The sequence below is a fragment of the Homo sapiens genome, chromosome 10 (genome assembly GCF_000001405.40).
Source record: "Homo sapiens chromosome 10, GRCh38.p14 Primary Assembly".
In the NCBI taxonomy this organism is placed as follows: Eukaryota; Metazoa; Chordata; class Mammalia; order Primates; family Hominidae; genus Homo; species Homo sapiens.
In genome coordinates this window covers 113,050,558-113,071,884 of record NC_000010.11, presented here as the reverse complement: position 1 = coordinate 113,071,884, position 21,327 = coordinate 113,050,558, and the positions used below count along the sequence as shown (strand labels likewise).

The window sequence follows — 21,327 nt, the reverse complement described above, 5'->3', positions numbered from 1 at the left end:
CCCCTGACCTGGAGGAATCCACTCATGGGGGGTGGGGGGGAGTCCTCCAAGGATCTGCACCAATGTGACCTGCCTGATAGTGTCTGTCACATTGATAGTGACCTGCCTGATAGTGTCCCTCCATTGACAGGGTCTCTATTGTGCTAGGCCTATGAGCCTAGGGGCAGCCAACTCACACACAACTCGCCCTGCCATGTCAGCTCTCAGCTTGGTTGCAGTCCAGGCACCAGGAAGGCTTGGTCCCGTGCCCAGTCCCAACACTGATAACATTCCCTACAGCTGCTGCCCAGAACGGAAAAGGTAAAAGATTCCTCCCTCCTGAGTGTGAACTTGGGGAGAGAGGTGGCGGGGGGACGGGGTGAGAATAAAGACGAGAAAAGGAGGGGTTTCCTGAAATTCCCCTGGAGTTCCTTTTAGCACCAAGGGAATCGGTACCATATCTTCATGTCTGTTCTGGGATCTCAGAGACAGACTCTCAAGCTTCTCTTGCTCCAGTGGACCCTCAAAGCAAAAACTCTCCCATGTCCTCCTGCAGCATTTAACCCTCTGCTTGCCAACACAGCAGTCACAAGGTATTAAAAAGGAGGAAGCACTCCATCTGAAGTCCTGGGCTAACCCAGCAAACATTCTACCACTAAATAGAACATGGCTCATTTCTACTCAAAAAGTCAACTGGGGGTTTCTACATTCTGTCTTCTTGTAGCAAAGCGGGTAGGGAGGCAGGGTGGAAGGAAGCAAGAGAACAGTGAGTTCCAGAAGGCCAAGCCTAGGGCGACATCTGAGCTAAGATTCCATCAAAAACCCTTCCATTTGCTAAGTGAAAGAAGTCAGTTACAAAAGACCACGGGCCTATGATTTCATCTATATGAAATGTCCAGAATAGGCAAATCCATAGATGCAGAAAATATATTAGTTGTTGCCTAGGACTGTGGGACTTAGGGAAAATGGGGAGTGGCTACTAGGAGACACGGGGGTTTTGTGGAAGGTGATGAAAATGTTCTAAAATTGACTGTGACGATGCTCGCACAACTCCTGAATCTACTACAACCACTGAATTGCATGCTTTAAATGGATGAATTGTAAGGTATGTGAATTATATCTCAATAACTGTATAATTTTTTAAGAAGGAGGGTTCCTTGCTTTAACTATAGCAAATAGAGCTTTCACTCTCCCCTGGCTGAAAATTTCCTAAAGATCATCTGGAAGACCCTTAGCAATATTTAGGTAAGCTATTAATGTGCTTGAGACTTCAGTACCTTCTGTGGGGATGATAGTATCTACTCCAAAATGTCACGAGGATTAAGTTTCAAGATGCACCTAAAGAGCCTAGCACAGTGCCTGGCACATGATGATTCCCGCAGGGCTCTCCTTTATGGGAAAGCCTTGACGCGGGTCCCGCAGATGGGCCATAGCAAGCAGCTAGGATCTGTTTGGGATTACATGAGATTCTACAGGAAAGTGGTGTCCCCAAACATTTATTAGCTCAAAATATGCAGGGAAAGCGAGGAAATGAATACTGAACACCCAGCAGATACCAGACAAAGGGCTAAGAACCTTATACCACTCGTTAATGCAACATTAAATTAATTAATTCATATATATATATATATATATAAATTTTTTTTTTTTTAAGACGGAGTCTCACTCTGTCGCCAGGCTGGAGTGCAGTGGCACCATCTCGGCTCACTGCAACCTCCGACTCACTGGTTCAAGGGATTCTCCTGCCTCAGCCTCCCGAGTAGCTGGGATTACAGGCACTTGCCACCACACTCAGCTGATTTTTGTATTTTTAATAGAGACGGGGTTTCACCATGTTGGCCAGGCTGGTCTTGATCTCCTGACCTCATGATCCACCCGCCTTGGCCTCCCAAAGTGCTGAGATTACAGGTGTGAGCCACCATGCCCGGCCCAATAATTTTTTTAAAGACTGACTCCTGCTACCTCCCACAGTGATCTCCCTGACACCGACCAGCCATGTGATCCAGTGGGAGCCGCTATCTTACGCTCACCAAAGCATTCTTGCCACTAGTATTCTTGAATATCTGGTTTTACAAAGGAATCTCAATCAGGCCGATGAATCAGCTCTTGCAGATCTCAACTGTACCAAGCAGACACGAGAACCTGTGAGGGAGTGGCTGAAACATCCAGCGAGGGGCCCTCAATGAATACACTGTACACTGACTACATACACAGTCTCTGAATGGGCAGAAGGCCAGACTAGTCTATGCCTTTTAAACACTTCCCAATTCCATTTCTAAATAATGTCTGAATGTCAATGGTTGTTCAGATGGCCCCAGCACATCCTCCTGGACGGGTTAGGCAAGCAGAAATAAACAGCCTTCAGTTATAGATACTGGCTGGGCACGGCAGCTCACGCCTGTAATCCCAGCACTTTGAGAGGTAGAGGTGGGCGGATCACTTGAGGTCAGGAGTTCGAGACCAGCCTGGCCAACATGGTGAAACCCTGTCTCTACTAAAAATACAAAAATTAGCCAGGCGTGGTGGTTGAGCACCTGTAATCTCAGCTACTCAGGAGGCTGAGGCAGGAGAATTGCTTGAACCCAGGAGGTTAGGTTGCAGTGAGCTGAGATTGCACCACGGCACTCCAGCCTGGGTGTAGGAGCGAGACTCTGTCTAAAAAAAAAAAAAAAGAATATGAGTTACAGACACTGTTGCACCCTCTGAGCTGGACACAACATTTACAGCGCCCACCGCAACCACCATCCCCTTCCAAGGGGGCGTACCCCATCCCGGGCCCCTCCAAGAGACGGCCAGCCCTGGGCCCTCCTTTCTAAACCATATGACATTCCTCCCTGCTAACTGGGCCAGAGGAAACACCTGACCCCAGGACACCCATGTCAAGGATGAACAGCAGTTGGTGATGCTACTTGGCACAAACACCCCATCCAAAGAAGGGTAGGCAGGGCCTAACTCTTGTTCTTGGTGGTGGTTGTTGTTTTAATTGGGAAATTAAAAAAAAAAAAAGAATTGGGAGCCAACGGTAAAGGGATGTAAGGAGGAGTCCAAGAGTTGGAAGGGGTCTGGCAGCATGCGAATGGCCAAAGTTCAGAGTGCGCAGAAGCTGAGAGATGGAGAATGAAGGTACAAGTACAGCAAGGGGGCCTGCGGACGGGACGAGCTTCCAGAAGAGAGAGCCCAAGGGAACAGCCAAGCACATCATGGCTGAGCCTGAAAGAGAAGGGTAGTCAATTCCTGCCACAGAGGTCCCTGAAACAGCCTGAGGTCCAGGACAGTGCTCCACGTCTGGGCCTCCCAAGGCCAATGTCCAGCTGCCCGTGTTTAGTGTTTGAACTCTGGTGCTGTGAATTCTGGTGTCCATCTCTGCGAGGCCCAGCTGCCATGGCATGGCAGGGTAGAGGTGTATCATACTCTCCACATGACTTACAAGAACCCAGCCATGTCCCCTTGTTTCCAAAAGGCCACCTCCCATCCCTCTCCCAGCATCCTGGCTTGCTCACGAGGGCTTCTGGGTAACCGCCTTTTGGATGGGCCAATCACTGGCTAAATGTCACTAACAAAGTGTCCTCACACATGGGCTGTCAACAGCAAGCAGTGCAAGAATAGAGACGGCAGCGGCTCCAGCAGCCTTTTTGTCCAAAAAGTTGTTCTATTTTGTCCAGTCATAGCACTTTATTCAAAATAGGAAGGTGGTATATACTTCATTAGCCACTTTTTTGAAAGGAGAGTTATATCTAGAGTGTTTTCACGTGTGATCAATGGCCTCCTAGGACTGCATCTCCTAAGCGGGTTTAATAAGCACTTCATACTTTAAAAAACAACACTGTTTTGAAAAGGACATCAGAGTCTAACTGAGGTCCATAAAGTTATATTAAGTGTCACGGAAGAAGACTCGCACCCAGGTAAAGAGGTTTTTTAAAGGGTACCAGGAGATTCAAAAGAGAGCAATTTAAGGAAAATCCTGGTTCTCAAAGATTATGAGCCCCTGTCTACTTATCTTCTTTTCCATTTTGTACTCTAGCCCCCTCCCACCAAAAATACAAACAAACAAAACCCACAGATCACTAAACCTCTAAGTGTCCGAGCTAAAGGGACAAAAAGAAGGTCATATATAACCCTCCCCACTTAAAAAAAAAAAATGTTCAACCATGAGGCAGAGCATGCCAAGACTTGCTCAAGGTCACATGGCAAGTTTCTAACTGGGCTAAGGACTCGGGCTGTCTGGGTCTCAGCCGAGGACTCCTTCCCCTTTATGCCTTAGAATTTATTTTTCAACACACTGAAAGTTTCCTTGAAATCTAAACGTAATTATATCAAAAGCCTAGCACTACTTCTTATGAAATCTAACAGAAAGATTCACTGCTTCTCAGAAACTTTGCAAGAGAAGCTCAGCAACAGGGGAAAATTATGGCTGAATATTTCTTGTGGGGGAAGAGGGGTACACAGAAGTTTCTGGATAATAAAATCACTTCCAACCCAAACTGACCCACATTTAGAAGTCCAAATTCAATTAATCTGACATTAGTCAATTCTGTGCTGCAGTCCAAGCATTTGAAAATTGACTTTGGGTTGAGTATTACCAGAAAATTCTTCTGCCAGTTGTCTGCTGTTCATTTCTTTGTATGACAACCTCAACACCCAGAACTCCGGTCCTTCTGGAGCCCCTCCTACGGGTTGCTCTTAGCTGGTGGATTTAGTTCAAGGTCCTCAAAGTATATATCATTGTCCAATTCACATAATATGTTAATAACCATGGGCTATTATGTTGATTTATTCAAAACCACTCACAGCAGAAATGCATATTCTTTGAGCTATTCTTAACTGTATGTTCAAATGCATCACACTTACAGTAAGGTTAATGTGCAGTTGCCCATTCTTTCCAATAGAATACACAAGAACAGCAGTATATTAAATGCTCTAATATCGCCTTCTGAAGAAACCTCCATATTCATTGTTCCCATTCATGCTGCAGCCTAACTCCTCCCAATGAGGAGATGGGCTAAGGTGAGACTGGAATGTGGACATGTTTTTGATGGTGTGCTTATGGAGAAGCAAGCTGCAGGGCAGCCCAGCCTCCTCATCTGTCAATACCGGCAACTCTCCTTAATGGTCAGAAACAACATGGAAACAGATATGCAGAATCTTCATGAATAGAATCCTGTAAAATGTGATTGGTATGGTCTTCTAAGAGCTGATCGTTGGCACAACCACGCCCAATGACTCTGGTTTGCTGTTACTCTTTCAGCACAGCTGAAAAATCTGGTCCACATAGGTTCCACCCATTTTTGATCAAAAGTGGGTTTGGAAGCTTTTAACATGTCATCCATTTGAAGTTTAGGGCTCCAAACAGCACAGCTTTTATTCAAATTATATAAGCACACAGGCATTATTTCCTCCATTTGAAGACTCGCATTGTTTCTACATTTTTACGCATCTGAAATTCAGATGCATATGGTAAGTAGATACAGTTAAGAGAGCCGTGCTCTTTTTCTCCCTGAAAATTTGCTTTTAGATTAAAAGCATAACTTTTTTTTTTTTTTGAGACGGACTTTTGCTCTTGTTGCCCAAGCTAGAGTGCAATGGCGCAATCTCAGCTCAGTGCAACCTCTGCCTTCCAGGTTCAAGCAATTCTCCTGCCTCAGCCTCCCCAGTAGCTGGGATTACAGGCATGCACCACCAAGCCCAGCTAAATTTTTTTTATTTTTAGTAGAGACAGGGTTTCACCATGTTAGCCAGGCTGGTCTCGTACTCCTGATCTCAAGTGATCCGCCCTCCTCGGCCTCCCAAAGTGCTGGGATTACAGGCATGAGCCACCGCGTCCAACCTTAAGCATATCTTACAACTGATGGTATACTGGAATTCAGAAAACATGGTGTTGCAAACAGTAATTCTCATGCTCCTTGAATCATGGACTCCTCTGGCTGCTTTCTGCTTTCATGCACGGACACAAACCAAATAATAAGAATTATCACAGCCTTATACTGATCCAAAAGACTTACTTGCAGAACACTTCAACTATTAACCGCAACTCCCTCCTAAGCATTGGGCAAAGCAACATATCATGTTTGAGAAGCAATTCTATATCCCTCAGACCACCTGAGCCTCACAACATCTTTTTCCTAACTACAACCTATGAGGGAGGTAGTTATTATTTTCCTTACTTTACAGATAAGGAAACTTGGAGATTATTAACTTCTCAAGCTGATAAAGCAAGGAGGCAGCTGAGCCAGAGCCCAAACCAAAACCTGTCCATCTCTAAAGCCAGAGGTCCTAACCACCAGGCTACATGACCCTACCCCTTCAGAAGCCCCAGTTATCCCGATTCTTAACAGATAAAGAAACCGAGGCTGCATATTAAGCGCTTCATAAGTAATTCCACAGCTGCAGGTGGATAAGCCAGACAGCCGGGGCCACATAAATACTGTGTGAGTTTGGAAGCAGGAATTACTTTGTCCAATATACTGAACAAAAATAAGGTCCTATTCCAAATAGCACCCGTAAGGTATACTCACACCATGGGTAGCTGGAACAAAGTCTCCATCTGCAACTGCAGATCTATGAATGTCTTCTGGTCTCTGCCCTTGACTCCACCTAAAATGTTTCCAAACTGTCTGGATGTGACATTTCAGACTTCTAAACAGGAGGCATTCAAAACAGGCCTTTTGCCTATTCATGAGGTTGCTGCCTGGTAAACAACATCCTCATAGGCCACACTAAACACCTTGCCTGCACTGGGTACTAGGAGTAGCTGGTACCAGAGCGGCCACAGTGTCTGGCAACTGGAGCTCTGCCTGGCCCAGCTTCCCAGCTTGTAATTCAATGACAGGTGGAGTCAGGGAACCTGGCCCTTTTTTCCCTATGGAATGGGATGATCCCACCATCCTCTACACAAAGCCTTCTGGTCTCTGGGTGAATATGCATGGAAATATGAAGGCTGAGCATTATTTATATCAATGGTCATTAGAGGTGACAATGGCAATTGACAAGTTTAGGTGCAAGGCCTACTGTTCACCAAGTCTGGCTAGACACTTGTGCTTCAGCTGAAAAATCAATGGGCAGGCCTAGAGAGGGGAAGAAATTTCATTTTGGGAATGACAAAATATTTTCCCAAGCCCTCAGCTGCTTCATTAATGCTTGCCTTATTTGGAGAAAAAGAAACCCGGCTGAAGCATCCGTGGTAGTTTTATATGCCGTGAACTGGCAATGTTTTGGAACAAAAAACAACTTTTGCACAAGGGTACTTATGGCATCATTATCGCATTTTCCAAGACCAGCTACAGTGCATGCCAGGTAAAAAAGGGAAAAGCTGATGAACAGTAGTACCTTCACCAGCAGCAAGGCTGAAACAAGAGGGCTTTAGAATAAATCTTGGTCCATGTGCACGTTTATGGCAAAATAACCCATGTGCATTTGCCTTATAAAAGTGTTACAGGTAGGCATACTTATATAATTTATTTAATGTTCTTTAACATCCATGCTTACTTGGGTTTCGTACAATTTATTAAGCTTTCAGCCTGGCCTACAGAAAAAGGAAAAACAGAAGCAGATGTGAGCCTACTACCCGCATTTACATGTTCACCAACCTTCTGCAGAGCACGGAACCAGCTGGTAAATACCTCTGCAGCCACCATTTGGGCCTGGCCCCTCCCTCTCCCAGAGGAGGCAGTTCCTGACAGGTATTAGGCTCCTTCCGGCTAGCTTGAGTGAAAGAATAAACACCTCAAGCAAGAAAATTGTGATGCCTGATTGGAAGCCTGTTACATATCCCAAAAGAAACAGTCCTTCTTCAGGAGATGAGAGGCAAAATGGCAGGGACTCCACCTGACTCCAGCAAGCTCTTAACAATCTCTCCAAATACCAATAAACGCCTCCCCTTCCTCGCAGGAGTTCCCTAGACTTGTCTATTTCAGGAACCTCACTGCCTTTTAGGAACCTCCTTGAATCTGCTTGGATGACGACACATCATCCATCCATCCAACGAAACACACACACACACACACACACACACACACGCCACATCCATGTGCACACACACATACACTCTTCTCCTACTGCCTACTCTTCCTCATGCCTGGCCCTTCAGTTTAACATTTACCAGATCTCTCGGGACCTTCCCCTTTTCCTAAAGAACTCTTTCATTGCTCTTTTCTTGGCTCCTTTTTCTTGTTGCTTTCTCCACCCTCCGGCTCCTTGGGAGAGGCAAGGAATCACCCGGGTGTGGGGGTTTCAACAGAAGCATGCCAGGAGGACAGGGAGGACTGGTGACAGCCTCAGATAACAGAATCAGATTAATGTCCCATCCGGTGTCAAGTTTCCTTTGGCCCTCAGAACTCACACTCCCTCCTGTGTCCACCAGGTTCCCATCTCCCGCTCTCCTCTCCTCTCCATCCCTCACTCTCATCTTCCCTCCAGCCAGAGCAGTGCCACATTCCAGGGCCACCACAATCTCAATCCATTCACCAGCACTGTAAAATGCCATGACTTCATTGTTTAAGAAACTGGGAGGACACAAGGAGCCTGTCTTTTGGCCCAACATAAAAGCAGCCACACAGTTTGGTTGGGTGGCCCCCGAAGCCCATGACCGTCAAAAAGGAAGTTTATCAGTAAATATAAGCATTAGCCTATCATCAGAGAGTATGTCTCCCTAAAGTCAAATTTGCAACCCCAAACACTACTCCAAGGATATAAGACATATGTAGGCATCGGGTGGGGCGGGTGTCATGAGCTTAGAGCTATTTCTTGAAGTAGGGCTTAGGAGGGCCACCCGCAGAGAGATTACAGGCACGGTATAACTTCACAACAAAAACACTGTACTGTTTGCAAGCACTCCAGTAAAAGTAGGAGACAGAGAATTGAAATTCAGAGTTCGCAGGTCCAGAATTCATTCCGTGCATTGCTTCCTCGAATGTAAAATGAGAGACCTGATGCACAGTCCCCAACTAATTATTCATGATACATGTGTATCTATAAACAGACACACTCTCTACCTTTTGTGGCTGTTAATGTTTAGGACAAAACCATCATGCCCAATGTATTATTCAGTCTTTGGTAGTAAAGGCCTCAAAATGAAACCCCCAGTCATTTATTAAGACCCTGGAGTCTCCCTTGGGCTAGAGACCCCAGGGGGACTGTAATAGACCACAGAGCCCTGACCTCCAGGTTCAACTCCTTCTCCAGCTTATATTAAAACACTTAATGGACGCTTAATTGGACCGAATTTTACCTAGATGGCAAAAACTAAATAATCTGGCCTAGAAAGACTAAACTATCTCTTAACCATTATCTGTTTATATTCTCACCTGCCACCCTATCCCCAAAAGGTGGTGTGTGGGGGAAGGGGGAGACAGTAAGAAAAAAAAAAAAGTGCAGTAGCCATAGAAGAACCACACAAGAAAGAAATGTGACCAGAAGCAGCAAGAGAAACTTCTACGTCAGGAAAACATTAACTTCTGTTCCTACTGTGTTAGACCTAAGGGCTAAGGTTTTCACGGAAACCTTATGTGGTCCATTTCCTCGTAGCGAACATGGATGTATTTTGTGAGCACTTGGGAAGCAAGAGACAAGAACTAAGCAGGCACTAGGAACTTCTAGTTGAGGAGGGAAGCAGCCAGCTCTCCAAGATGATGTGGCAACAGCAGGGGTAGGCAAAGAACACAGGGGTTTGAGGAGAGCCTTCTGCAAGTGGCTCCAAACTTTAGCCTTGGAAGAGGTGATAGAGGACTGGTTCAGTGGCTTCCTTCTATCAGTCATCTTCATGAAACTCATTTCTTCCACAGTCACACGATGTCTGCTGAAGAGTATGTCCAAGCGATTCCAGTCATGGTGTACAACTCACACTTTTGCTCTCTACACCCTCAACCCCAACCCCAGCAAAACTTTAATGAAAATCGCCTTGCCTTTTGTTAATAACAAAATAAACAGATGTAGAATGACGGTGTTTGCCTCTTTCCTTTTATTTGTGCCATGCTTCTAAAGCTCTCTCCACTTCTAAGTCACCAAAGAGATTCTTTTAGAAACATCTTCTAGCTCTCAAGGAAGAGACTAAAAATCCTGACACTCTCGAGAGGGCAGGCGTTGCCAACTTTTAACTCCTCACCTGCTAGTGCGTTCGCCAGCGAACAAACTGGGAATTCCCTTTGTCAAGAAAAAGATCAGAACGTGAACTGTACAGTTCCAGGGGAGGATCAATAACCGTCAGAGGGAAAAAGGGAGAAAAAGCAGGCACTTAATTCACTGCCCTTTCATCTCCACGGAAGAGCAAATTTCCTAGGTGACACGGCCCTCCCTTGCCTCCAAAGTCTGGTCCAACTAATAACGTGTGAAATATTTGTGTGATCTGCACCCTTTCTCACTAATACCTGCGACAATTACTACACGTATCCTCACTCACACCTAGACATAAGAGGGAAATTGGAAATTGAAGTTTCAAAAGTCACTGGAGAGATTAATCCACCTGGGCTGAGTTTACGCTGTTCCCTTAAATTAAGGAAATGTATAGGAAAGTGGCCGCGTTATCTACTGAGCACCCCAAGTGAAGGATAGGCAGATCTCCATGCAGACGCTGGACCTCAGAATACACTCTGTCCCAGCGAGGCACAGAGAACTGCTGTCATCCATAAGCTCTTTGCAAAATGACCAAAAAAACACAGGTCTCCACTTCACCAACGGGGGACCATGCCAGCTGGCAACCAGCCTTGGGAAACCCTGTCCCCCAAGGGTCACTGAAAGAAGCCATGAGGTCAAGAGCTTGATTTTTGTCGGGGGGGTGAGGGGTGGTGCAGGTAGGGGCCACAAGGTTGGAGGCTTAAATATTTGAATAACAGATTCAAAGGGAGGAGGGTAAACGCACACATCAAGTTTGATCGTGGATTCCCAAGACCTCTTGTATCTGTGAGATAACCAAGGAGCTTACTATCCACCAGCCCTGAAGTCCTCAGGCCTCCCAGATAAAAAATGCAAGATTTTGCCTAGATGTGATAGGGTTCTGAGGCAGCCAGGACTCCACATGGGTGGCTACTAGGTCATCGTCACACAGCAGCCAGCCACAGCTGCCTCGCACTCAGCCACAACAGGCGATCCAGCCATTCTGGGCGGCGTCTTCTCCTTGGGGACACAGCGCCTCTTTCCAACAACACTGTTCCCTATGTATTTTGGGCATTCCATGATCACACAGCGTACCAATTTACACTTCCGCATCTAGAAACACAGTCTTCTGGGAAAAACCTGCTCTTTTCGGTATGGCTGGGGAGTTGTGCTCTAGCTTGTAATTTGGGTTAAGGAAGTGACTTCCTGACTGACAGGAAGCAGAAGCCGAAGCTGACTTTAGCTGCCTGCAAACCCCTCGCTTGGAGAGAAAGCCTGAAGTTCTCCAAGAGAAGAAAGCTACTTATCAGGGAATCTTCCAAGAACAGAAACCTCTCCCCTGACCCCCCCATTTATTAAAACAAGTTTATCTAACAAACAACTCGAGTGCATTCGGTCCTGAAGAAGTAAGCTCAGTCACTGCTTTTGTAACAACACAGTCCTTTTAAGGCTTCTAAGGACATAATTACCAGTTGAGTTTTGAACTTTGCCCAGATAAAGGCCAATACACCAGGCTTTGCTGTTTGTTTCTCGAATCAAGTAAATTCAAGTGTGAACAGAATTCTGGATCTCCTCTGTGCCTGCAATTCCTTCTCTCAGACATAGTTACTTGCTGCCCCCCTTTATCACTAAATGCATTTTTATGGAGAGCCAAATACATTTTGTTTTTTAAAATTCCAACCACTTGATTTTTGTTCTATCTGAGCATTCTGAAGAACAAACACTAACAGGGTATCCGCTGAACAGCTAAGATGTAAATGTTATCAGAAATCACACTTCCTTTCCTAAAGCCCACTGTCATATCCACCGGGGGCGGATAATCTACATGCCAGCAAGCTTTAAAAACTGACAATATGCAAGGCTAACATTCAAATTTAAAAAGAAACACCCTGCTGTTCCTTCACACACACACACCCCAAAAATGGTATGCAGAAATATGGAAGTGAATGGCAGATAATTAAGGAGAAAACAATCTGCTCTTTTCCTATCTCTTACTGACATGTTTAATAGTTTCTAAATAAAAAATGTGATTTTCTGTCTTTTTTCTCCCCTTCTCCAAGCAATTTCCGAGCCAGCTTTGGGCAGTAAACAGTTAATATTCCACTCTCCCTGCTGCCTTGAAAACCAAAGGAACAATTGAGACATTGTCCAGTGAACAAGACTCCCAGGGACTGACATTTTTGTTTATGTCCCAGTTCTCAGACTGTCAATTTCCACTAGGCACGTTAAAGCCTGACCCGCGCACCAACACAGTCCACCGTGAGCTGAAAGGGCTCCGCTTCATTTATTTTATTAAAGCTTCGGTGTCTGTTTTTGATTCAAACTCCAAACCTCCCCAACCCCCGCCTTTTCCCCAGAAAGTTGCCTCCTAACTCTGAGACTGTGTTGCAATTCCTTCTTGGAACACTTTGCCAAGAAAAGTAACAAAATATTTTTGAATACCAATGTTTGCATGGTTTTGCCAAAAAGGGTGGGGGGTGGGAGGAGGACCTGAACAAGTGGTCCAGCCTTGAAAGCCGCATGTTTTTATGGAGTTTTGAAAATATTCCTCTGAAATGATATGCAAGCCGGTACCTACGGTGACCTAACAGTCCAAACTCTGGCACTCCGAAAACATTTAAAAGTCCTCCAATGCATCCGAAAAAACCCAAACTTCAGGTTCAAAAACAAAAAGTGTACATCAATATTTTCCTCCCAACCGATGCCACTGCCTGACAAATTGTCTGAGTTATGGCCCTAAAGCTTCCCCTCCCCACACCACTTTCCTACTCTTTTTATCCCCCACTCCCACCTTTTGGGGCATGGGGGGCGGTTGCATTAGTGATTTCGCAGGTTTGGGGTCTTGCTCCTGACACTTTATCTCCATGAAAAGCATACACAGCAGTGAGCACCGTTTCCTGTTTGCAGAGCGGGCATTAACTAAATCACACCCTATGCAGCAGCTACGGAATGCAAGAGCATATGGCATTGTGCAAGGATTTACCGAGGAATAAAAGCAGCAACGCTGGCCTGCTGCTTACTATCAAACCCTGTCACTCTGTGCTTGCGGGTCTCTCTATTTCCCACTGGCCCAAGCCCATCTCTCCATATTAACGTACAGCGCACACACACGCACACACACACACACAGCTCACGACCCAAAACCTGGAACTTTTACAAGGAACAAGACACAGGAAAGCCACATGGATCCAACCCCCCTCAGACCCCTTATTGCTCAGATTGGAGACACAACCCCTCCTTCTCACAAACTGACCAGGAAGCAAAAGGAAGGGGCTGGGGCTATGAGCTGCCCGGAGGATCACAGTGTGGAGTCCATGTTGCCCTCGGGGACCTGACACCAAAACCCGGTATAAAACCACATTTTCCAACGAACCATCTATACCTTTCTTTTCCCTCTCACCCACTCCAAAAACAGCATTTGGCCATCTTCCCATTGCAGACTCTTTGTTTAGAATTGAGGATTCCCCACCCCCTCTTCATCTCTACTCTAAAGGGCCTCTTCAGACCCATTCAGAGCCTGCTCAGGCTGCCCAAGCTGGGGCATCAGACACTGAAATAAATGGTGATACTTTCATGGCATATTTGAATGTAACAAGCCATTCTCTCCCGAAAGGAAGCCCTGTTGGGCAGTCACAAGTTGTTACTGAACCAAGGTTGAAAGACAGAATCCCTAGGGGCCAAAGGTAAGATTGTAACATTTATAGCCACCACCTTCTTCCCCCTTTAAAGGCCCTAATGAACCTACATAGGGCACACGCAAGACATTAACTTCTTCCTGCCAGAAGCTTCTATTTGCTCGATGAGGGTCCTTCTAGGCAAGCACCACAGCTCCAACACCTCCCACTGTTCACATCTTAGTTTGGTTCTTCCTGACCCTCCATCTCAAACAGCCCCCAGCCTGGTCCCTCTCTGTCCCACTGTCCTGCTCTTTCTCTGACATGGCTCCTGTCACTATGTGAAATTACCTTGCCCATTTTCAGCCGACAGAGAGCACAGAAAATAAGACCTTAGCTATGAACTGAATGACCACTGAAAAGGTCTGGCTTTCCACCTGAGAAAAGCCACCTCCCTTCCCTCTGAGCCTCAGTCTCTTCATCCGTAAAATGGAATACTAATACTTAGCCCCCAAAGATCATAAGGATTAACGTAATGTATCTGGAATGTGGCACATCCTGTTAAGTAGCCAACAGATTTATTTCTATTTTATTAGTTATTAATGTATTTAAAATGTTTTCCCCTGTTACTTATTTACTGGTTTTCATCTCTATGCCTTCCTCCCTATACCCTGACCCCCAACAGAAGTCCCATGAGAGCAAGAATATTTTCTTGCCCACTGGTATATTATTGCCTGGGGCCAGGCTCGGTGACTCACGCCTATAATCCCACCACTTCGGGAGGCCGAGAAGGGCAGATCACCTGAGGTCAGGAGTTCGAGACCAGCCTGGCCAACATGATGAAACCCCATCTTTACTAAAAATACAAAAAGTTAGCTGGGCCTGGTGGTGCACACCTGTAATCCGAGCTCTTCTGGAGACTGAGGCAGGAGAATCGCTGGAACCCAGGAGGCTGAAGTTGCAGAAGTATATATTCCCAGCCTGTCTTGTCTCCCCATGGGTAATCACCAAGTATGTGTTTACAGGGTAGGAGAGACAAGAGGAAGGGAGAGAAACCAAGCCAAATGTCTGGCTTCTCAGTTTGGGCAACCAGTGATCACTGTAATGATCATCACCTACTCACAGCAACTTTCCTCAAGTGACATAAAGGGATAAGAACAAATAAAAAGATCTTCATTTGTTATAAGTGGTTTGTGGTCTTCTGACATACACAGAGCAGATAGCATTTCAGTACTGGCCTCCTATTTCTGCACGCTTCCTGGAAAACGCAGAGTCTGGGAGATGTTTGGATGAGACCGCTCTGTAGAGGCCCAAGGCAGGAACTGTGCCCCAGGAAACCGCCCTCAGCTACCCACCAGGCAGCCTCTCCCAGCCTGCCCATCTGAGGCGATGACGCTTTTCCAAGTGGCAAATGAATCATGTCAGACCAAAAGCCATTTTAAAAGTACACTTTGTAAAAAACCCATGCTACAGCACATTTCATTTATTAATTATGCTATGGATTAGGGATCAAAGTGGTAGAAATCTCAGTGTACTCGAAATAAATGGCTTTTGTGGTTACCTAAATCCTCAGAGTCCCCTGGAATGTAATTCCTTAGGCAAAAACAGCTTCCCAGACTTCTTGCCCCCTCTCCCCAATAATATGGGGGAGGGTGATTACTCAGCATCAGACTTGCATGATGCAATTATTTGGGCTTTTAACGTTTCAGTTACATGAAATATGGAATTCTTCCTTTTGAACCGCCCTCCTGGAGACGGGTTTTTTGTTTCTATTATTGAGTCTCAAGCTCTTCCCCTTCTTTCTGTCCTCTACCCTCACTGCCCCACTTCCAATTAGATTCAAATTTAAAATAACATATAAAGATTTTGGGATTCAAACAAATCCCAAGTAATTCGCAAGAAGGCAATGAGGCGCGGTATTCAGCAACGAGCTTTGTGGTCAGAAAGGTCTGGATTTGAATCTTGGCTCTGCCACTTACTTCATAAATTATCTAACTGCTTTAAGCTCTGGTTTTCTTATCTCTAAAATGGGGATAAAATTGCTTCAAGGAGCCTGTTGCAAAGACTGATGAGATAAAATATAGAAAGCTTCTGTCCCAGAGTCAGGAGCCCAGGATCTCGGCTGTATGTGACCAAGAATTATTTATTGCCCTAGCACTTTCAAGTTTTCCAGATATAGGTCCAGTCCACAATTTTTGTATCTTGTTCTAAGTGAGTTGCTTAAAATCATATTTAAAGCCTAGTTTACAAATCAACCCCTTGCTTAGATTCCTACCAAAAAAACCTAATTTCCTTCAATGTGACTGTTAGAGAGCAGATGTCCACTCAAAATCAGAATTCCTGCACCAACTATCTGCAGAATTCGGAGCTACTTAGAGTGGGTACAAAATAAAAGCACAGAGGAAAATACAGATGAATTTGAGGGCATTAAAATTTAAAACTTCTTTCTTTCAAAACCCATCCAAAGCTAGGCACAGTGATGTGCACCTGTGGTCCCACCTATTCAGGAGGCTGGGGCAGGAGGACCTCTTGGTACCAGGAGGTGGAGGCTGTAACATACTATGCTCTTTCCTGTGAATAGCCACTGCAATCCAGCCTGGGCAATGCAGTGAGACTCCATCTCTAAAATAAAAGGTAAAAATGAAAACCCATCTAAAGCAATATTTTAAAACATCACAGCCTAGAAAAAGTATTTCCAACACATATAATCAAGTTTTCAACTTATATAAAGAGTTCCTATAAATCAATAACAGAAAACTATCTGATTCTTTAAAATGAAGAAGGCATTAAACCAGGCAAGCCACAGAGGAGAAAATAAACATATGACCAGATGTTCAACCTCAGGAGTCATCAAATAAAGGCAAATTAGGTAAGATGCCGTTGCATACCCAGCAAATTGGCAAAAATTTTAAGTCCAACAGGATCAAGCATTGGTGTGATTATGAGGAAAGAGTTTATATGCTGGTGATGGAAATACTCATTGATCCAATCAACTCATCCAGTTGTTCTGGAGAGCTTGACAATAGCATGTGAATTAAAATTAAAACCAGCAAACCAATGCCCTACCAATTCCTCTACTTTGGTATGAATCCTAGAGAAACTCATATATAGGTACCTACATACACTTGCCCAAAGGATGGTTATTACAGCAGAATCTGTAATCTTAAAAAACTGTAAGCAACCTAATTAACCATCAATACAGAAATAGAAAGCTGTAGTATATGCATACAATAAATACTACAGAGCAGTTAAAAAGAATGAGCTAAATTTCAATGTACAATGTTGAAAAAATTCAAATGTAATGTTGAATAAGAAAAGCATGCTGCAAAATAAAAATTTAAAAATAAAGAAAAAAATAAAAATAAAAGAAAACATGCTGCAGAATGTTATGTGGAATGTGAAGCCACTTATGTCAAAGTTAAAAACTACTAAGATTATTTATAATACATACGTTAATATAAATAGATGTCGAAAAGTATAAAAACCTGAACTCGGTTTTCATATTAATAACAGCCTGGGAGGGAAGATCATGGGCTAGGAGGGTGAAAAGATTAGTAATTGTTATTTTAGGTGGCAGGTACATGAATGTGTTTGTTATCCTTTGTACCTTTCTGTATTTTTTTGTTGTTGTTGTTTTAATTTTAAAAAAAGCTAGAAAGCAATCAATCTCTCCTGTCCTGGAGAACAGACAGAACAATCAGACACAGCCACTAAAAACAGGGAAGCCCACCTCTAACTTCTCTCCCCAAAGCTTGTCAGTGTGACAAACTTTGAGATAGACACCCTAAGGGGAACTGCCAAACATCATGGAAAACCCCAATACTCAAAGATCCAAATTTATACAAAAGATAGATTAGGGAGTGACTACACATAGCATTAAATGGTTGGTGATTTGAGAGAAATGCAAAAACCTTCCATCCATTGTAACTTACCAGAAAGATTTGTGATTTACCCACAAGTTTGCAGACACACATGGTATAAAAGGAGGTATAATTTAGGATGAATAGAAGGCTCATTGTGATGCAAATCTCCCTTTTTTGGTTCCTTTCTTTTGCCATGAGTTCATACCTTTTCCTCCTGGGAACCCACAAAGCCTCACTTCCTCAACAGGAACTAACAGCATCACAAAAGAATGACAGGCCTCCAGGTTCCCTGGTGTAGCCTGACCGGCACCAGCCTAGTCTGGTGTCCGGAAACCTGCCTCTCCCCGCCTGTATGTGTGCCTGATTAAGGCAGCATAACACTGAAGGGTGAGAGTCCTGGCTCCGATGTGAGACTCCTTGGGTTCAACTTCCAGCTTGCCGCCTCCCAGCTGTGTGACCTTGAGTACGTCATCCTCCCCTCAAGCCTCAGTTTCCTCATCTGCCAAATCGGGATAATAACAATAGCTCATTCATAAGGGCGTTGTGAGGATTAAACCTGACAACTTCATAAATTACTTAGAAAAGGCCTGGAGCTAGTGAGTGCTCAGTGAACATCCAGTATTACCATGATCGTGTACTTCTCTCTCCATTTCTCAAGGCATCAGTTCTGTAACGATCAAAATGAGGCTTTTATGTCACTAGACCTCTAAGTTTTCTTTCAACATGTGAATTCTGGGATTAAGTCTAATATTGAAAAGAAAAATCAGGAACAGGGGAGCTAGCATCAGGCAGAACCAAAGCTCCGGTCTATCATTTGCAGACTTTGTAGTAACTGAGGCTCCAGGACAGTGCATGACAAAAAGCTCCCAAAGCCTCATCCCTCAGCTTCTGTTCTGACCTCTGGTATCACACGCCTGCGCCCAGCAGGATCCCGACAATCCACACCCTTGCTACATATCCAGCAGGTTCTACTTTGCCAACTGAAAACTTCTGGAGGAAACTCACATAGGCATCCAGACACCACAGCACTTAGCCAAGCCCAACCCTGCTGGCCTCCGTATGCGGTGCTGGCCACCCCTAGAGTCTCAGCCCATTTCCCCCAAGCCAATGGCCCGCCCTCCCGCTCCTTGACAAATGTCCTCTCTACCCACTCACTTATTCCACACAGACGTCCAAACACGCACTAGCTCACCGTATGTCCTTACTGCCTCTCAATGGGTTACATTTTTCAAATTATGTTCCAAAACTTAACCATGAGATCGTTGGCATGAGAGCTGTGCCTGTGTCCCACGCCAGGCTTGAACTCACAGTGTAGCAGATGAATCAGGAAGAAGGCATCATGGGTTTGCACCAAAAAAAGAATCAGATAAAGAAGTTCGTTTGTATCTTTTTAAAAAGAACAAAGAACCCCTCTTCTTCCAAATTAAAAGTTTAGATAACATTGAAGTTATCACCCTCTTAGAAATATCTTGATTTTTGTATCATGCAATGTCTAATAGAAAGGTGGGAGGAAAAGAGAACTGTAGAGTTCACTGCTGAAGTCCAGTTTGAGTAACTCTCAGAAATACGACTAGATCCGCTGCAATCATTCACAGGTAGAATGCATAAAAATGAATCCGCAGTTCAAGCTTGGTCCATGTGTCATGTCCTCAAGATACATGGGTCATGGAGAGCAAAGAGACATCCCAGCCATGGGAGGAACAAAGTGGGATACATCAGGCCAGCTGAGCCACAGTCCAGCTCCTGAGCCTACGTCCTTTTCCTTGGGTACATCCTCATTCTGGGTTCGGATGAAAAATGTTCCTTTCTCCCATAATTTCATTTGGAACAAGTTTTTAAATGGTGAGTCAGAGAACTTTTGTTCACCAGGACATCTAAATGGACATTTGACAGGGCTCCGATAGATCCAGTAGGGGGCTCAATTTCTGACACTTTCCCAAAAGCTTGACTGCCTAAAACAGCAATGACAGCTGTGACACCTCTACAGCCTCTTACTCTCTCCTCTTTCAGCCTTGGCAGAAATTAATCCATCAATGCATCCTTCCCCTGGAGGCCCTGACACATACAGCCTCAGAATCTCTCTCAACACACTGCTCCCACAGACGCCACCCAGCCTGCAGGTCCAAGTACAAACCCTGCACTCGGCTCAGAGTCCTTGGATCAACACTGTAGCCTTTCGGGGCTGCAGGATCTTCTCACAATTTCTATGTGTCTTAAAGGAAAACGTACAGAACCTTCATCAAATAATGAAGTTGTAATAATCAGTCAAACAGAAATAAACAACTGTATGCTCAGCTTGCCACCAATTTTCCATGATTTAAAAAATAATGCTTCTAGTAATACAAGTAAGTGTTAGTAAGTAGAGGAGACTACACGATACAGGTTAAAGCGACACCTCCTTATTTATCTTATTACATTATTGTGACATTTTTCAACTAAAAGGGCAGTATTTCATACTATTAATTATCTAAGGATTCTTCAGTTGTCCCAAGGAGCAAAAATAAGAGAGATTTAGGGCAAAGAAGAGTATGTTAAACAGAAGCCAGAAAAGAAAACTCTGAGATACCAAAAATATGAAAATAAGAATTTCACAAAAATATCTAAAGTTCATTTTCAGAATTCCCCAGAACCACAGGACAGAATCATGGAAACTCCTTCTTTCATACCAGCCTCTCTTTAGAAATCATTTGTGGGGGATGATTGTGTATAATAAGTCTCCTTAAAACAGTCCTCAGACGACCACAAACCAACCTGTTCTTAAAGAAAGCATGCGTGCTCTGCTCTTGCAAGGCTCTATCTAAATAGCGATAGAAGAATCAGTTCATGTTCTAGCATTTTTAATTCAAAAGCATTAAAAATCCAAAAGAAAAAGCATGTCATTTTTTATTATAAACATAAAACTTGGCAAACTATTAGTTAGAATTCCTTTGGTTGTAAGGGACAGAAGACTATCTCCAACTTCATTCCTTACCAAATAGCCCAGGATTAGAACTGGCTACACAGAACTCCATGGTGCCATACAGGCATTTCCGCCTCACCCATTTTACCCTTCTACAAATGAGGGTCCTCCATTGAGTCGGGGTGTGTGCATATGTATGTGTCTGTGTGTGTGTGTGTGTGTGTGTGTGTGTGTGTGTGTGTGGTGTGTATGCACATGTATGAAGGCAATTGCAAAGAGCCAGATTTAGATCCTCTCTGCGTGGAAAAGACTCATAATAAATATCACATATCTGCCCCTTGCCTAATCACATGTGCAACAGAACCGAGTGGAACAAGGGAAGTGTAGTTCACCACAACAAAAAGAGTGAGGGTGGAGATAGGAAATGCCATTATCAGAAAAAAAAAAATGTGTAGAGACAGATGTCAGCTTCAGAACCTTACTCCATTTTGAATGTTTGATTTCTTATGCTGGGAGTTCAGCACCTGGGTGTTATTCTCAATACCTGAAAACAACTTCATAATTTAAGAAAAAAGCATAATAATGGCCAACTCAGTGCTTTTCAGAAGTGGGATGGGAAGGGGCTCAAGGAAGACTGTGGGAAAGATGCTTGGCCATATACTAAAAATGGAGATGGCCTCTGTCAGTCAAACTCACTTATTCAGCCTTTGACAATGTCTTGCCTTGGTCACTGTAATTCTGAGTCTCAGACATTCCTTCATTTATGAGCTTTGGCTGAAGGGGGCTGCTACCTCTTTCCAAAAAAACAATTTTTTTTTCCTGAGTTCCAACTGAATACTCCCAAAAGTTTCACCAGAAGCCCTCTGCCCAGCCATGTTCCCCTTCGCTT

General features: G+C 44.3%; 1 protein-coding gene across 15 annotated transcripts in view, besides 6 other annotated features; it reads right to left on the bottom strand.

Moving 5' to 3' along the window:
• Positions 1-21,327, bottom strand: part of TCF7L2 (transcription factor 7 like 2) — a 217,432-nt gene that overhangs the window by 95,794 nt on the left and 100,311 nt on the right. The window lies entirely within an intron of this gene.
• Positions 13,114-13,742: an enhancer, noted in NCBI's record as "H3K27ac-H3K4me1 hESC enhancer chr10:114817902-114818530 (GRCh37/hg19 assembly coordinates)". NCBI's record gives its function as "activates a minimal SCP1, AML or CMV promoter by ChIP-STARR-seq in naive H9 embryonic stem cells {active_cell/tissue: H9 hESC(naive)}" and the evidence as "EXISTENCE:reporter gene assay evidence [ECO:0000049][PMID:30033119]".
• Positions 14,534-15,033: an enhancer, noted in NCBI's record as "H3K4me1 hESC enhancer chr10:114816611-114817110 (GRCh37/hg19 assembly coordinates)". NCBI's record gives its function as "activates a minimal SCP1, AML or CMV promoter by ChIP-STARR-seq in primed H9 embryonic stem cells {active_cell/tissue: H9 hESC(primed)}" and the evidence as "EXISTENCE:reporter gene assay evidence [ECO:0000049][PMID:30033119]".
• Positions 16,961-17,939: an enhancer, noted in NCBI's record as "OCT4-NANOG-H3K27ac-H3K4me1 hESC enhancer chr10:114813705-114814683 (GRCh37/hg19 assembly coordinates)". NCBI's record gives its function as "activates a minimal SCP1, AML or CMV promoter by ChIP-STARR-seq in primed H9 embryonic stem cells {active_cell/tissue: H9 hESC(primed)}" and the evidence as "EXISTENCE:reporter gene assay evidence [ECO:0000049][PMID:30033119]".
• Positions 16,961-18,918: a biological region, named in NCBI's record as "OCT4-NANOG-H3K27ac-H3K4me1 hESC enhancers GRCh37_chr10:114812726-114813704 and GRCh37_chr10:114813705-114814683".
• Positions 17,681-17,975: a silencer, noted in NCBI's record as "identical tiled regions #1227 and #6337; K562 Repressive non-DNase unmatched - State 22:ReprW". NCBI's record gives its function as "represses a minimal TATA promoter and a strong SV40 promoter by Sharpr-MPRA in K562 cells {active_cell/tissue: K562}" and the evidence as "EXISTENCE:reporter gene assay evidence [ECO:0000049][PMID:27701403]".
• Positions 17,940-18,918: an enhancer, noted in NCBI's record as "OCT4-NANOG-H3K27ac-H3K4me1 hESC enhancer chr10:114812726-114813704 (GRCh37/hg19 assembly coordinates)". NCBI's record gives its function as "activates a minimal SCP1, AML or CMV promoter by ChIP-STARR-seq in primed H9 embryonic stem cells {active_cell/tissue: H9 hESC(primed)}" and the evidence as "EXISTENCE:reporter gene assay evidence [ECO:0000049][PMID:30033119]".